The 16,075-nt window shown below is 48.0% G+C and overlaps 1 protein-coding gene across 2 annotated transcripts in view, besides 6 other annotated features; it reads left to right on the forward strand.

Annotated features, from left to right (window-relative positions):
• Positions 169–358: a silencer, noted in NCBI's record as "silent region_12598". NCBI's record gives its function as "represses an Ori minimal core promoter by ATAC-STARR-seq in GM12878 lymphoblastoid cells {active_cell/tissue: GM12878}" and the evidence as "EXISTENCE:reporter gene assay evidence [ECO:0000049][PMID:35858748]".
• The window catches only part of STK35 (serine/threonine kinase 35), a 46,729-nt gene continuing 30,936 nt past the window's right edge, over positions 283–16,075 (forward strand). Inside the window, exons 1-3 of one of the 2 annotated variants that reach the window (NM_080836.4) lie at positions 283–631; positions 1,224–1,821; positions 15,122–15,871. In NM_080836.4, coding sequence (NP_543026.2) covers positions 338–631; positions 1,224–1,821; positions 15,122–15,834 — 1,605 coding nt within the window. In that variant the 5' untranslated portion in view covers positions 283–337 and the 3' untranslated portion in view covers positions 15,835–15,871. The remainder of the gene's footprint in view (positions 632–1,223; positions 1,822–15,121; positions 15,872–16,075) is intronic. The other variant, XM_011529174.4, reaches the window with a different exon arrangement.
• Positions 459–748: a silencer, noted in NCBI's record as "silent region_12599". NCBI's record gives its function as "represses an Ori minimal core promoter by ATAC-STARR-seq in GM12878 lymphoblastoid cells {active_cell/tissue: GM12878}" and the evidence as "EXISTENCE:reporter gene assay evidence [ECO:0000049][PMID:35858748]".
• Positions 759–808: a silencer, noted in NCBI's record as "silent region_12600". NCBI's record gives its function as "represses an Ori minimal core promoter by ATAC-STARR-seq in GM12878 lymphoblastoid cells {active_cell/tissue: GM12878}" and the evidence as "EXISTENCE:reporter gene assay evidence [ECO:0000049][PMID:35858748]".
• Positions 1,044–2,012: an enhancer, noted in NCBI's record as "NANOG-H3K27ac-H3K4me1 hESC enhancer chr20:2083234-2084202 (GRCh37/hg19 assembly coordinates)". NCBI's record gives its function as "activates a minimal SCP1, AML or CMV promoter by ChIP-STARR-seq in naive H9 embryonic stem cells {active_cell/tissue: H9 hESC(naive)}" and the evidence as "EXISTENCE:reporter gene assay evidence [ECO:0000049][PMID:30033119]".
• Positions 1,099–1,628: a silencer, noted in NCBI's record as "silent region_12601". NCBI's record gives its function as "represses an Ori minimal core promoter by ATAC-STARR-seq in GM12878 lymphoblastoid cells {active_cell/tissue: GM12878}" and the evidence as "EXISTENCE:reporter gene assay evidence [ECO:0000049][PMID:35858748]".
• Positions 1,649–1,698: a silencer, noted in NCBI's record as "silent region_12602". NCBI's record gives its function as "represses an Ori minimal core promoter by ATAC-STARR-seq in GM12878 lymphoblastoid cells {active_cell/tissue: GM12878}" and the evidence as "EXISTENCE:reporter gene assay evidence [ECO:0000049][PMID:35858748]".

The following is a 16,075-nucleotide window of genomic DNA, read 5'->3' on the forward strand; positions in this document are numbered from 1 at the left end:
GGGAAGGTCGGGATTCCAACCCAGTCCCTGAGGTTCCCAGGACAGAGCTATGAATCAAACGACCAAGACAATCACCCAGTCAGTATTTATTAGGCGCCTACTGCGGACGGTTGGTCTTCACGCAGATCAGGCGAGAAGGGATAGTGATGCGCGGGCCGCTGCGGAGACCCGGAGCCCGCCGCGGATCACGGGAATTTCGCGCCTATTTTTTGTTGGCTGGGTGTTCTCGCCAGTGATTGGGTCCCGGCAAGGCGTGCCGGTGCGCTCGGCTGCGGCTGCTCCGTCGACCTTTGCAGGACCGGGCGGTGCAGGGCTCACTCGGCTGGCGTCCCGGGGGATGGGCCACCAGGAGTCTCCGCTGGCCCGGGCGCCGGCGGGAGGTGCAGCTTATGTAAAGAGGTTATGTAAAGGGCTCAGCTGGCGCGAACACGTGGAAAGCCACGGGAGCCTAGGAGCCCAGGCTTCCCCAGCGAGCGCCGCGGCAGCAGAAGGATCCGCTACACGCCGGGCTCGGGCCGCCACCTCCCGCGCTGCTCGGTCCCGGAGGCAGCCCGGGCCCGGAGCGGACCATCCCCAGGCAGGGGCTCCAGGGGGGAAACGGGCCGCCCGGAAGTGGAGGTGCGCGGGCCAGGTAAGGGCGCCGTTGGAGGACTGAAGGCCAGCGCCGAGGCTGGAGTTACTGCCACTGCCTCCGCGCTTGGGAAGGGAAATCGGGTCCTCGGCCAGTCGCACTCCGAGAAGCCGAACTTTTCAGCCAATCCCTTCTACCCGTCGCCCTCGGGGACTTGGGTCGGTCCGCTGGGCTCCGCTAGGGCTTAATTCAATGGACTGTTTACACCCGGGCGAACACAAGGCGGGGCGCGGGGAGGAGCGTCACAGAGGGGGCCAAGCAAAGAAAAATATTTCCGCCGGCCAAATCGCGTCTCTAAGCGGTTTTCAGAAGGCGTGAAGCTTGCTGGCTCTTCTTTTTCCTATCGCTACATGACAAGCTAACAGAGAGAGCGGAGAGTTTGTGCTTTTCTTTCCGGTTCCCCCTCTGAGCTGCTGCCCAGTGGTTCGGTCTTTCCCGCTTTCCCCTCCCCTCCCCCGTTCAATCAGCGGCGGTGGCTTCCGTCTTAAAGGGGCCGCGGCGGCCGGGGGAGGAGGAGGTGGGACGCCCCGCGGCCTACGCTCCTGGCCTCCCCGCCTTGGCCTGGCCGTTTAACCGATTCTTTCGCCCGCAGGTCACAATCCAAGGTCCGGCTCCTCCGCGTCCCAGGGCCGGACGGAGGGATGAGGCAGGGGGGGCCCGGGCAGCGCCGTTGCTGCTCCCCCCGCCGCCCGCAGCCATGGAAACGGGGAAGGACGGCGCCCGCAGAGGTACACAAAGCCCGGAGCGGAAAAGGCGAAGCCCAGTGCCGCGGGCGCCCAGCACGAAGCTGAGGCCGGCGGCGGCGGCCCGGGCCATGGATCCGGTGGCGGCCGAGGCCCCGGGCGAGGCCTTCCTGGCGCGGCGACGGCCTGAGGGCGGTGGCGGGTCCGCGCGGCCGCGTTACAGCCTGTTGGCGGAGATCGGGCGCGGCAGCTACGGCGTGGTTTATGAGGCAGTGGCCGGGCGCAGCGGGGCCCGGGTGGCGGTCAAGAAGATCCGCTGCGACGCCCCCGAGAACGTGGAGCTGGCGCTGGCTGAATTCTGGGCCCTCACCAGCCTCAAGCGGCGCCACCAGAACGTCGTGCAGTTTGAGGAGTGCGTCCTGCAGCGCAATGGGTTAGCCCAGCGCATGAGTCACGGCAACAAGAGCTCGCAGCTTTACCTGCGCCTGGTGGAGACCTCGCTGAAAGGTAGGAGCACCGCGGGCCTTTCCACCCACGCAGGGCCTGGACCCCCTGCTCTCCGGACGGCTTGGCCCACACTGTTCCTGGCCTTCCTAGGCCTCAGACCTGGTCCCTGTCACCCTGTGCCCTGACACACCCTCCTTTCCTGGGCCCAGGCATTCGGCCCTCTCTTCTCAGGTCCTAAGATCAGTCCCTGGGCCTAAAGTTGGCTGGTGTTTCCATAACAAGAGCTCGTTTAAGTGCTAACCATTAACTTAATAAGTGCTCAAGAATTGCGAGCTATGGTTATTAAACGTCTTCTATTTTTAAGATCGGTTGGGGGAGTGGAGGAGGGGTCGGGTTCAGTTAGTAGCAGAACTGCGGAGCCTCCTCACCCCCGAGGGCCTCTCTCTTTCCCTCCCAAAACAAACAAAAAGAAAAAACTTGACTGGACCCACCCACACCCTCTCCCTGTCTGGTTCCAAGTTTCCTGACACCCTCCAGCTCCAACCCCCAAACTCCTGTGGCTTCCTCGTCTGCCTTTTCCTCTGAGGCCCCCGGCCCTTCATCCCAGGCAGCCGAGCAAACTGACTGTCTTCTGGCTTGGTCCTCTGAGGGGTGCAGGCTGACAACCCTCACAGGTGGCCTGAGAGCTGTCACATAACAAAGCATCCGGCATCTTTTCCCTCCGTTTTACATTCTTAATCTTTTTCTTAACCTCAGAGGCTGGCTGGGAAGTGGTTTTACTTAAAAGGAAAATGGGGTACATTGAGGCAAGAGGTCTTGCAGTCCTGGAGGAACTAATTATCTTAGTTTCCGGGTTTTAACTGCAGTTAGGGAATGTATTCATCCTAACTACTCAGTACTCACAAGCCTTTTTCATACTACCAGTAGCTAAGTGTCTGCTTGGAGAGGAGAGAGGCGGTAGAAAGTTTGAGGAGACTTTCCGAGGCAGGAGGATCCAGGGGAAGAAAGTTTACTAATCCGAGTCCCAGCTGTGGTCTCAGTGCTGAAGTAATTTTTAGGTAATAACTTCAAAAGTAAATTCTATCCTTTTTCTATAAATAAACTAAGGCTTAGAAGTGAACAAATAACTTGATCAGGGTTAATCCGCTTGAAAGGGAAGTTAGACTGTACTCCTGGTTTCCTTACATTTCTCAGAGCTTAAGTGACGGGGATCCCAGATCTGTCTTGATTCGAGGCCTGGATCCTTTCGAAGGCGTAATGCTGTTCTCTGCACCCTGAGGATGAACTTTTTTAAGAGTGGGTAGGATTTGGGGTGAGTTTGGAGGGGGTGGTTTCCCAAAATCTTGTTACTTTTGCACAACTTAAAGATCCCCCAAGTCTTTCCCAAGAGAACGCTTTGTCCCATTGCAAGTCAGTTGTTTGACAGTGGAGTTGGAAACATGAATCAGTATCACCTAGAGTCCTTTAATTAGATGTCTAACTTTATAAAGTCCATCCGTGCCCCATCCATTCTGAGAAGCCTACCCTCTCCCCAGGGTGAGTGTTTTTGTTTTGAAAAGACTTCCAGCAGGGCACAATGGCTCACGACTGTAATCCCAGCACTTTGGGAGGCTGAGGTGGGAGGATGGCTTGAGCCCAGGAGTTTGGGAACAGCCTGGGCAACAAAGTGAGACCCTGGTCTCCACAAAAAATAGAAAAAAAAATAGCCGGACCTGATGGCACAGGCTTATAGTCCCAGCTACTTGAGAGGCAGAGGCAGGAGGATCAGTTGAGCCTGGGAGGTTGAGGCTACAGTGAGCCATTATCATGCAATGGCACTATAACCTGGGCGACTGAGCAAGACCCTGTCTCAAAAAAAAAAAAAAAAGACTCCCTAGGGGATTCGTTTATCTTACCTATATTCTAGGAGCGCATCACTTACTTTGAAGTCTTTCTATTCTCAGACTTCTCTTAGTCTTCTCCTTTACTGCCAATGAATGGTCTGGACTTCCTACTACAGGATTGCCTTGGGATGTAGGAATTTGCCTTGCCGAATGTTTATTCCTTGTGTCCTCAGTTCATTGACGCCAGTCTCGAACCTTCAACCTCAGCTTGAAGCTCTTGCTTACTCTCTCAACATATAAATACTATGTGGACTTTCCTCACCTGAAGAATTTGTCAAAATTCCAAAGTGACCCCATGGCAGCATAGCATAGTGGTTAGTACCATGGACTTTGGGGTTAGACCCTCTGGCTCATCCCAGGACTGACTGCACAAAACATGGAGCAAATTGTTTGAACCCTGTGAGGAGCATTCCTTTATTGTAAGATAGTGGGTATGTACCTATGACATTAGGTACATAGGGTCACTGTGCAAACTGTTAATGTCAGCAAGTGCTCCACATAGGGAGGAATTCACTGCCTTATATAAGTTCACACCATGTTCTGTACTCTTCTACCCTCACCCCCTTCAAGATTCACATTGTTCTTGCTCAAGTTTCCCAAACTTGTTTCATCATAGAACACACCTTGTTTTCTGTGTTGTCAGGCACACCAAGTTGACAGAAACACTGGTGTTTTCATCCTCCCTTTGTGAACTAAAACTGGGACCTAGAAAAATGAAATCTTTTGCTTTAGGCCGTACACTGGATTGGATTGGTCCCTTTCAGTTGTTTGGAGTCTTTAAAATATTTGAACCTCTACGGTGTTCAGGGCTCAGAGACAGAGCAGTGAAGAAAATATGTGTTGTTTCTGCTTATGAAAATGACATTCAAGCTGACTTGCAATGTGTGGATTTTTCAAGTAGTAAATAGGTAATCATTTTTGCTTCTTAAAATAGAGAACAGATACCAAAATTACTCCAGGTTAAACTTTGCTTATTCTGGATTCCAAAATTTAGGGGTCTTGATCTGTCCTGGGGCCTTGGGTTTACAGCATGCAAATACCACCCAGTAATGTTAAAGCTGGAAGGAATCGTAGAGATAACCTGGTTCAGCTCTCTCATTAAATAGAAAAGTCCTTTACAGTCACCCTTGGCCCTGCCTCCTAAAACTCAGAATGATTTTGAACAGGCCAAAAAGTGTGAATCTGCCTTGAAGTCTCAACTAAACCTAATGCTGAGTCCCTACTGTGGTATTTGAAGGGAAAGAAAAAAAGCAAAGCAAAACACACCACCCCTTGCCCCAATGGAACTTACATTTGAAAAGTTTGAGAACTGGAAGAAGATTTAAATGCTATTCAAGATCACTGGAGGAAATGACCAGTCAACTCATAAGCAAGGGCTTTGCACAAGAATTAAGAGGAAAGAGAATCAGGAGTTAGGGAGAAGGTGGGCTTGAAAGTAGGGTGCCTAGGACTGTGGATAGGCGAAGAGACAAAGGGAGTCCGTTTCACTATTTGGCCAGTAAAATAATCCAGTATCGAAAAGAGAAATGTCTTGAAATGCTGTTCTTGGTCTTACCCCATTTTGTTTGATAGCCTTAAATGCATTGTCTCCTTCCATTCTGTGCACAGACCAAACACGTCCTACCCAGAGGCATTAAGACAGCAGAAGCTTCGGAGGAATAGAAAGAGGTCTTAGATGTGTGACCTGGCTGCCTGTTTCACAAGGAAGGAAACTGAAGCCCAGAAAAGGGACAAAACTTTTATCCACAATGAGTTAGTGATAGCACTCAAACCAGCCTCCCAGGCTTTTTAAAACCACATTTACAATCCTGTAAATTATTTGGTTGAAGGGTTGGTGCCTATGTTTTTAACTTTGAAATACTTCTCACATAAAGGTTGGGGGGGTGAAGGCATCAACAGTTTGCTTTTATCCCCTTGTTTTCCATTGCGAGAATGCCTGTCCTGAATGTGCCTAAAACAAAGTTCAAGATTACTGCCACTTAGACAGCAGGCAAGCCTGAGTCACTGTCAGTCAGAAATTCTGTTGCTTTGTCTAAGGCACACACTGATTCTTCTGACAAATAGCAAGTGAGGACACACTCACAGACACTAATCCAGGACAAACTCTCAAGACTCATATAACAGAATAGTTAGAAGTTTGGGAGAGCCGGGAGCCTAGCTTACACTCAACTTGATAAGACACTAATTGTTCTTTACCAATTGTTTGATGTCGATGCCTTTAGGTGGCTGGGAACCGAGGCCTTGGAAAGTAATCTTGCCTGCACACCAAGTGGCTTTGAGCCAGGCTACTATAAGAGGCCATGCAGAGTTTTTCTCCACGAGGCATGCAGAGGACGCATGCCCACATGAACATAATGCAGGGTCACAAGTGGTAGCATCTTAGAAAATAGTACAGTTGTCTGGGAGTTTAGTTAGGGGCATTGGGGAAGCAGGGGAAGGAAGAAGCTGAGGGAGGAACTATAATAGTATAGGATAGACCAGGGTCTTAGCAATAGATGGGTTGTCAGCCTGCAAACTTCCCCAACTTGTCGAGTGCCTAGGGAACCTTCAGAGCAGAGCAAGGCCGTTCCCTCCCCAGCCCTTAGAAAAGCAACTCTGAATCCTCTTCTGTGGCTTGGGTCTCAGAGTTTAGAGAGCCGCCAGGTCAAGAGGCAGAGAGCTGGCTGGCATTGGGGAAATATAAGTTAACACAATACAATAAAATGCTAGACTCAGAGTCAGAAGGTTTTAATCCCAGTTTCACCCTGTAAATAAGAGCTGAAACTTGCAGGTTGCTATGTATCAGGTGAAGTCAGTACCGTGATTATCTTCATTTTATAGGTGAGGCAACTGAGGTACCAAGGTTAGTGAAATTGCCCAATGTAAAACAGCTAAGCAAGTAACCAAGTCAGGATTCAAGGCCAGACATTCAAACTTGAGTATGCTTTCTTAACTGCTGTGGGGTACTGCTGGGACAGGTAGCTTAAGTTCTAGGTTCTTCTGTTTTTCTTGGTTGTAAAATGGGCATAATCATATTTTACTCAGAAACTAATGGCTCAGGCCGTGTGCGGTGGCTCACACCTGTAATCCCAACACTTTGGGAGGCCGAGGTGGACGGATCACCTCAGGTCAGGAGGTGGAGACCAGCCTGGCCAAAGTGGTGAAACCCTGTCTCTACTAAAAATACAAAAAATCAGCTGGGCGTGGTGGCGGGCGCCTGTAATCCCAGCTACTCAAGAGGCTGAAGCAGGAGAATCACTTGAACCCGGGAGGCAGAGGCTGCAGTGAGCTGAGATCGCATCAGTGCACTCCAGCCTGGGCGACAGAGCAAGACTGTCTCCAAAAAAAAAGAAAGAAACTAATGGCTCCTCTTTGTTTTTAGTTGTATATTGATCAGTGCTTGTGGCACTGCTGATTTCTGTTGGTTCCTTCTGTGTGTCTCAGCTGCCAGGGACCCCACCTGCTCTCTGCTCTACTCTTGAATGACTTGGGGCAACCACACAGACTTCTTGCTCCTGACCGACTACTTTTTATGTGCATTGGGGATTTTAGGTACCAGCCCCAGGAGACAGAAGCAGCCCTTCCTTAATTGAGAGCTTTGGTTAATTGGGGTTGCGTTGGGTAAGGCTTTTTATAGTATAAACTCTCGAGGGGTGCTTCCTAAGTAGAACTTGTAGTCTGCTCATATTCACCTCAAATGTGGCCTTTGCTGGTATCTGTAGGGCTAGGAACCCTCCTTAGTGACTTCTAAATTCTGGATCCTGACCTAGTTGTCTTTAACTTGCATATTCTGCATACCCTACTACTACTTTCTGTGTTCTTTCTCTTTTTACACCTCTCCAGCGCATGACTTTTATCTTGATTTATTTCACCCTCTTATCGACCACCTAGGTGTGCATGTGGTATACTGTGGGGAACCCAGAGACTTGATTTCATTCCACCGTGAGTGCCCAGTCTAATGGAAGAGATGGTTACAGTACAATAGATGTTACTTCACTGCAGCCTGTAAGAGGTGCTCTGGGTGAATCAGCTGCCAGGAATGTGGACTAAATCTGGGGAAAGGAAGGATGAGTTGTAAAAGGGTAAATCAGAAACAAGCCTGGCAAGAGCTGAGGCTTAGGTGTGTGGCAAGGCCCATGCATATGGAGAGAGATACTTGAGCCCGGACTGCCATGGATTAGGGGTACCCCAACTCTCTGCCTGGCTGGTGGATTCTACATTTTAACAAACCCCTGTAATGTTCCAAGTAGTAATAGCTAGCATTTCGTAGTATTTTCATACTCCTTTTCTCATTTAATCATCACCACTGTAAAGTTGGTGTTTATATAACTTGTTCTTACAGACAAGAACGTCAGTGTCCATCAAGGTCAAGTTGCTTGTCCAGCACAACACTAGAGAAAGGTCAGGGCCTAGGTTTACATCCAGATGCTCTTTCCAGTGTCCATGTTCTTGACAGGCTGCCTTGTGACCGTGTTGGACAGCTGCCAGTGGTGTCCAGAGACATTAGCATAATTCACACCCAGTAGCAGTCTGCTCTAGTGTCCAGGCACCATTCAAGGTGCTTTGTATGTCACAGTTAAGCCTTAGAGCAGTCCAGTGCTGTAGGTGTTTCTTCTCAATTTATAAAAAACTAAACAGATTCTTAGTGTTCTAAGAAATTTGCCCAGGATCATATAGCTATGTAATTGGGGGATTGGGGGCAGGTAGTAGAGGGAATGTTGACCCCAGGCCTGGCTGGCTTTACAGCCCCTGTCCGGCCGGTGGGTTTACTCTTGTCCTCTTTTGGACACTGTGTTTTGCCCTGGCAGCCAACAGAACAAGTCTGTTAATCTTAGGAAGTACTTTGGACACACCCTGTGGTGTTGCTATGGTACCCAGCCTCTTTATAATGACATAACAGCACAAAATCATTGAGAATGGGACCAATTCTTGGTCTGCATTTTCATATTTCTTTGGGAAGATGTGCCAGGATGGGTCCGTGTCTTTAGCTTCTTAGGACAGATCTTTGGCTGAGCCAGCTCTTTAACTAAAATATTTTAATGTACAACTCCTAATTAAACAGGGATGGCTATAGTCATAATTTATTCAAACTTCATTTTTCGGGGTTCCCTCATCCTTTTTCTTAAGACATAACTTTATAATTTTAATATTCTGCCCTTTTCCCCCCTTCACATTAAAACTTGCTTATTACATGCTATGTGACTTTCTCTTTTGGCTTTTTAAGTAAACTTTTGTTGAAGTATAATATGGTCCTTTAAAACTTTCAGCCAATTGGTATTACCATAGTTAACTGTTACTCATTCTCATTCTTGGACAGTAGTTTTCCAATCCTCCACTTTGACTTACTCTGTATGGAATACCAGTTCTGAGTGTCTCTGGTGTTTGGTGTGTGTTTTTTTGTTGGGTGGGGAGGCTTGTTTGTTTTGTGTCTTTTTGACACTTTTGGAATGAATTCCTCAAGTGGGATTTTTCTTTCAAATGGATCGAGCATTTCTAAGACTTCCTATATGTATTGCTGAATTGCTGAAGTGTGCGTAAGTCAAAGTCCTAATTAGTCCTCTGCTGAAAGACAGATCTGCATGTTGTGTGGTTGGACCATCACGAGGGACTGGATGAACATTAAACTCTGGGGGGCACGCATCAGAGTCTGCTGTGGGAACTAGCACATCCAGGTGTGCGATTTTGCTGCAGGCACTAAGGCAGTCACAGTGCTTCTGCTGAGAATCTAGCCTATGGAAACTCAAGGTCCTGCCCTCAACTAGGCAAGTTACTTAATCTTTTGCTCCTGAGTCTCCTCACCTGTGAGAGGAAATGTAATTATTATCTGAATAGATAGCAGTTTCGAGTAACCAGAGAGGAATGGCAGAGCACTCTCTGAATTCTTCCTTTCCATCTTATGTGACAAGTTATTAAATCTTATTTATCCTAAACTTCTAAGACCTTTCACATCCTCTTCTCACCTCCTCCCTTGCCAGCCCTCACTTCACCAGGTTTCAGAGCCTCTTGATAAGTCAGTCGGCCACTAGGCTGTCTCCCATCGCCAACCCCTCATGCCTCCATAAGGAACTTGTTTCATTGTCCAAGATATGCTCTTTCACAGTTTAACGTCTCTGAAATCAGCGGTTGACTTAGTCAATGGTGTGCCCATAGCGTTGTCAGCAGCCTATATGGCTTACTTAAATGGTATGCCTTAAAATTGGTGACTTGTAGATTCTGTAAGCGACACATCTCTAAAATACGTCAGTGGCCAGGCGTGGTGGCTCATGCCTATAATTACCCAGTACTTAAGGAGGCTGAGGTGGAAGGATTGCCTGAGCCCAGAAGTTCAAGACCAGCCCGGGCAACATAAGGAGACCCTGTCTCTACTAAAAATAGAAAAGAATAGCCGGGCGTGGTGGTGCATGGTTGTAATCCCCACTACTCTATTCGAGAGGCTGAGGCAGGAGGCTCCCTTGAGCCCAGAAGGTAGAGGCAGCAGTGAGCTGTGATTGGCTGCACTCTGGCCTGGGCAACAGAGCTAGACCGTTTCAAAATAAGTAAATAAATAAAATGTATTAAGAACTTTCAGTCACTTCCCATTTCTTGGAGTCTAAATCCACCTTAGAAGATATCCAGCCTCATTCCGGCACATCTACAGAAACTCTTCTGTGATTATCCAGACTACTCGTGTCCCTGGCGCACACCCACCTGCTCCTGTGCCCACTCCCCTCATCCTGGGAGACGCAGCTGCAGGGCCTCTCGCAGTTATTCTCAGCCTGCCTTCCTCTCATCCCAGCTTCTCTCCCAACTCTTCTGGCAGATCCGGGCCCGCTTCCTAGTTCTCACAGCTGTAGTCATTCTGCTTCTAATGACCAGAAGCCTATGTAAGGGCAGGGATGCCCCTCAGCTCACCGCACCTCTGTCTCAAGAGCAATGTGTGCTCAGAAATTGTTGAAGTGGCGTTGACTAAAACCTGGAAATCTAACTTCTGGAGAAGGCTTAAGGATAGGCTTGTAAAAATCTAGAGCATTTTGTATTTCTTTACAGGAAGTGCCTGTCTTTCCAAAGCTCCTACTGGCTTGTCTTTATGCTGAGCCTGCTGGCCTCACGTTTTTCAGCGAAGCAAGCCATGTTTTTATTGGGAACTTAAGCACTACTGATGAATTTCCATGACTAATGAGATGCAAGACACCTGCTTGGTTTTGTTCTTGGGTTTACTTTAAGCATCTTCTCTCCCTGTGGACTGTGGCATAGGATATGTTTTGAAATACATAATTTATATTATGGTCACCTGACTGTCAGACTTGAGGGAAAGGTAGTAAAACTGTCCCCAAAGGCAGGCCTGCCTCTCTTGGAAGAACACTTTTTAGCCCTCTGTGAGCTGGGAGACAGCATGGTCTGGGGGGAGGACTTGCTGTGGGGGTTCTCTCCTATCCCCCCCAGTTACTCATGGTAAGGGCCCTCGGGCAGACTCTGAAGCCTTTCTCAGCCTTAGTTGCCCCACCTGTAAAACGGTGCCTGGTAAGATGAGATAGCTCACATAATAAACTTTTAAAATAGTACCTGGAACCCAGTAGGCTTTCACAGGCTAATTTACCTCAAATCCTTACTATCTCCAAATAACCTGCCTGTTTTCTCCCTCTCTGGGAAGGAAGCTAAATTTGTAACTCTTATTAATCTTATACAACTGTCAGATTATACCAGACAAGGGAATTATAAAACTTAAGTAAATTTTATTTGTTCCTCTCAGCTCAAAAAACTGAATTTCATGTGGGGATTTTAGTGGTTGCTGCATATATCTATTCCAATTATATATCCTGAAACTGGGGAAATACCCGCAGTTGTGGGTGGGTCGGGAGCCCACTGTGAGATGGGCCTGAGCTGAAACTCCATGGATCACCTGCCCTCCATCAGTCCTGTTCTGACTGGTGGACCACAGTGACAGTTTGGTTCTTTGGGAATTAGTGTCTTTTTGGAACTTGTGTTCAGTAATCCCCTAAAGTTTGATTACTTTCCCTTCCTCAATGCACAGGCACCTTGGAAATGACTGCAGGTCTCCCTGGGGAGGCCGGAAGACTGAGTAAGAAATCTAGTCCCCCGACCTCAAAACATCTGCAGAATGTGCCAGCATTTCTCAGGGTTAAGTAGAAGAGTTAAGCCATAGATTGCTAACCAGAATATCTGGTATAATTTAATAAAAACTAAAATAAAAATATGAAACTAGGGCCTTGGCTGGTCAGAAGAGGGAAGTTACTGGGAAATCAAGTGAGTATAAGATAGACTGGTGTTGCAGCTAGCCTTAAGGTGCACATTTCAATTGTACCTGCAGAGATTGTGGGGGCAGCAGGCCTAGGGAGAGGGATCACTTCAAATAGGAATAGCCTGGTCTGCCTAGAACATGGGTTTCAGCTGTTACAGCCTAAGAAGTGTGATGTCTTAGATGGAATAATACACTTTCATTCTAAGATCTAAATTTCATCTTTTGCCTAACATGTAAAAACTTACTCTTACGGCCTACAGCACTGGGATTATTGAAATCGGTGACTTCCAAGGATTTGGTTGGGGTTGAGTGGGAATGATGATGTTAGTGATGGTCAGTGGTTCATTTCCCCAAAAAGATCTTACATTCTGCCAAATGTAGTTCCTATCTGACTTAAGTCACAGTACTCATGTGGTATAGTTTCATTCTCTCATTTGATAGATGTGAAGACTGAGGTACCAAAAAGACTGAGGCTCAGAGAGCTTCAGGGACTTGCCCAGGGTTCCAGCCATCTTTTCATCACACCTCAGTCTCCCTGTGTTTTCCTTGAAACAAAGAATCCACCCAGTGAGGCAGTGGTCAGAGTTGGGGTCTGAACCCAAACTCTTTGTTTCCTGGTCTGTGTTTTTCCTGTTACTTCACCAAGTGCCTCCGAGTGCCTGGCATCATCCACGTCGCCTCCTTCCATCTGGTCGTGAGGTAGCTGAGACCCCGTTAGACAGTCTGCTTGGAGTAAAGGACTAGAATTCTGACATGTTTGTTTTCTCCCGGGAGTTCGTGTGTGAAAGCATACGCTGCAGCTTCTCATGAAAGAAGTCCAGGGGCCTTTCCTGCGCAAAGAAGTACTTTTGAGGCCAGGTGCTATTGAGAAGCTGGGACTATTGAGGCCACTGCACCCGGCCTCAAAAGTACTTCTTTTGGAAGTACGTTGGGAAGCCAAGGCGGGAGGACCACTTGAGCACAGGAGTTGGAGGCTACTGTGAGCTATGGTCACACCTCTGCACTCCAGCCTGGGTGACAGAGTGAGACCTTGACTCGTAAAAATAATAACACTTTTGTATCTGGGACAAATAGCTGCACTCCCAGTTTTCCATTCTGTCATACCCACTGTTACTGGGTGTGATTCTGAGAATACTTCTTCCTGTCCAGAATTTTCCTCTCAACAAACAGCCCCTCCTGTAGCATCTCCTGAGTCTAGCTCCTTCCTCAGAGCAGCTCCTCAGTCCGAAGGTCCAGTCTCCCCCAACCACTCACAAACTTTGGGTTCTTTTTTTACCATTTTTTCTTTCCCTGGATTCTCATAACCTGGACTTAGATTATAGTCTGTTTTGCAGACTTGTTTTCTTTTTCCTTAGGTTGCCATAGTTACTAACTTTGTATATAAAATAACCATCATTCCTCTTCCTTTATTCCCCCACCAGAAGTTTCAGTGTTTTCTGATGTGGCCTTTGCAAAAGGAATTGGATGGCTTTTTGATCTTTTCCTTTCTGGTTCTACCTGTAGTACACATTTCTTGCTCTCCTTTTTGTGGGTCTTTAGCATCTGGATTGACTTGGGCTTCAGATTGATGCTTCATTGTGCAGTATTTTTACATAGAGGGCCTCTGCCCATGACCTAGATAGAGGATTATGAGAGGGGAAATAACTGATTTGAAAAGAACAAAAAACATCTGCCCTAAACTGGTTCTACCTGTATTACTTTGATTGTGAGTAATATAAGCAAATAAATTATATAATTACAAGGGAAGTGAGGGCTATCCGATTGTGATCAAAAACCTAAAGCTTTTGTTTTGTGTGTCACATCATCTTGGCTGAACCCAGAACTCTCAGACCATTGGCTTTAGTAGACTGTGAGCCTTGGTAATTTCAGGCTGTTGGGGTTAGCAGAGCCTCACCTAGATCACTCGTTTTCTTTGTAATAGAGTAAATGACTAGTAAAAGGAACCCTCTGCCAGAAGCTGTCTGAGGAAGTGCAGTCATTTTTGGTAGGATGCATACTCCATACTGGGGCCAGAGAGAGGACTTCTCTTCAGGTCCTGGCTCAGTTACAAATGACCTTGTGACCACCCAGAACAAGCCAGCACATTTGCAGGCCCAGCCTCTCCTCATCAGTGAGATAAAACATCTGCCTTCTTACACTTAGCTTTGGGAGCAGTTGTAGTCATCACATAACATCCACATAAAGATTCACTGGACTGTCAGTTGCTTTATAAAGAACATTGAGATTTGCTTGGAGAGGTTGGTCACCAGCTTTCCTAGAGTTTCAAGCCCACACAATTTAAATCTGTCTTGTACATCGACTTTAGACTCCACTGTTCCCACCAGACTTCCAATTTACACCTTTCTGGTCTTTTTGTCCCTGTGTTCCATCATCCATTCCATCTTTCAGCCTAGAATTACCTTCCTGCTCCCCCACTGATCTACTGCCTGCCTTTTACAGGGTAAGTTCAGTCCTGCCCCCTCTGACACCTTCAGATCTGGCCACTCCTGCCCCCCCCTTCACTGTTTATATGAGTTGACCCTGATGGAGATGTACATTCAGATCTGGCGACTCCTGCCTCCGCTTCACTGTTTGTAGTAGTTGAGCCTGATGGCGATGTACAGCTTTTGATGGTTGCTGCTGTGGATACCTGTCATCTCCTTGAAACTAAGCCTCATAGAGGTGGAGGCATGTTATGTACCTAACTTGTGCTAGGCATGTGGTGGGCTTGCAGAAAATATTGATGGATCGGACTGTGCCTCTGAAATAAACCAAGGAAATTGTAGGAGTGTGCCTCTGAAATAAAGGAAATTCTAGTGCCATTCTAGGTGCATTAACAAGAATCCTTCTACAAGTCAGGAAAAAAGAGAGGGAAGGTCATTTGCTCAGCATGGAGTAACAATGATATTAGAAGCAACAGACCCGTGACAGCCTTCTTGCATGCTTTCCCTTGTCCCATCTGCCCAGCAGCTTTGGGAGGTGTGGGTGGTATGGCACTCCCTGTTTGGAGACAGTATAATGAAACAAAAAGGCTTCGCAGTCAACCAGACGGCAGTAAACCCGAGTTTCCACCTGGGCCTCATTCCAAACCCAGGTACCTGACACCAGTCCCTGGTGCCTGTGTCATACCTTAGAAAGGCACTCAGTGCCAGTTGTGCAGGTCCCCTTGGAGCAGTTGTTTGTCACCAATGTCACTCTTGAATACACTGCATCCTTTAGTTAAAAAGAAGTGTGACTGTGTCCATCTCACTCAAGCTCCTTCCTGTCTTCTTTGATTTAGGAGAAAGGATCCTGGGTTATGCTGAGGAGCCCTGCTATCTCTGGTTTGTCATGGAGTTCTGTGAAGGTGGAGACCTGAATCAGTATGTCCTGTCCCGGAGGCCAGACCCAGCCACCAACAAAAGTTTCATGCTACAGCTGACGAGCGCCATTGCCTTCCTGCACAAAAACCATATTGTGCACAGGGACCTGAAGCCAGACAACATCCTCATCACAGAGCGGTCTGGCACCCCCATCCTCAAAGTGGCCGACTTTGGACTAAGCAAGGTCTGTGCTGGGCTGGCACCCCGAGGCAAAGAGGGCAATCAAGACAACAAAAATGTGAATGTGAATAAGTACTGGCTGTCCTCAGCCTGCGGTTCGGACTTCTACATGGCTCCTGAAGTCTGGGAGGGACACTACACAGCCAAGGCGGACATCTTTGCCCTGGGCATTATCATCTGGGCAATGATAGAAAGAATCACTTTTATTGACTCTGAGACCAAGAAGGAGCTCCTGGGGACCTACATTAAACAGGGGACTGAGATCGTCCCTGTTGGTGAGGCGCTGCTAGAAAACCCAAAGATGGAGTTGCACATCCCCCAAAAACGCAGGACTTCCATGTCTGAGGGGATCAAGCAGCTCTTGAAAGATATGTTAGCTGCTAACCCACAGGACCGGCCTGATGCCTTTGAACTTGAAACCAGAATGGACCAGGTCACATGTGCTGCTTAAAATTCAGGGCTAAGCATTTTGGGTGATTTTAAACTAGGTGAGTGCTCTCTGTTGTTGTTTTTTGTTTTTTGTTTTGAGACAGGGTCTCACTCTGTTGGTCAGGCTGGGGTGCAGCGGGTGCAGTGGCAGGATCTCAGCTCACTGCAACCTCCACCTCCCGAGTTCAAGTGATTCTCGTGCCTCAGCCACCTGGGTAGCTGGGATTACAGGCACCTGCCATCATGCCCGGCTAATTTTTGTA

Source organism: Homo sapiens, chromosome 20 (genome assembly GCF_000001405.40).
Source record: "Homo sapiens chromosome 20, GRCh38.p14 Primary Assembly".
In the NCBI taxonomy this organism is placed as follows: domain Eukaryota; kingdom Metazoa; phylum Chordata; class Mammalia; order Primates; family Hominidae; genus Homo; species Homo sapiens.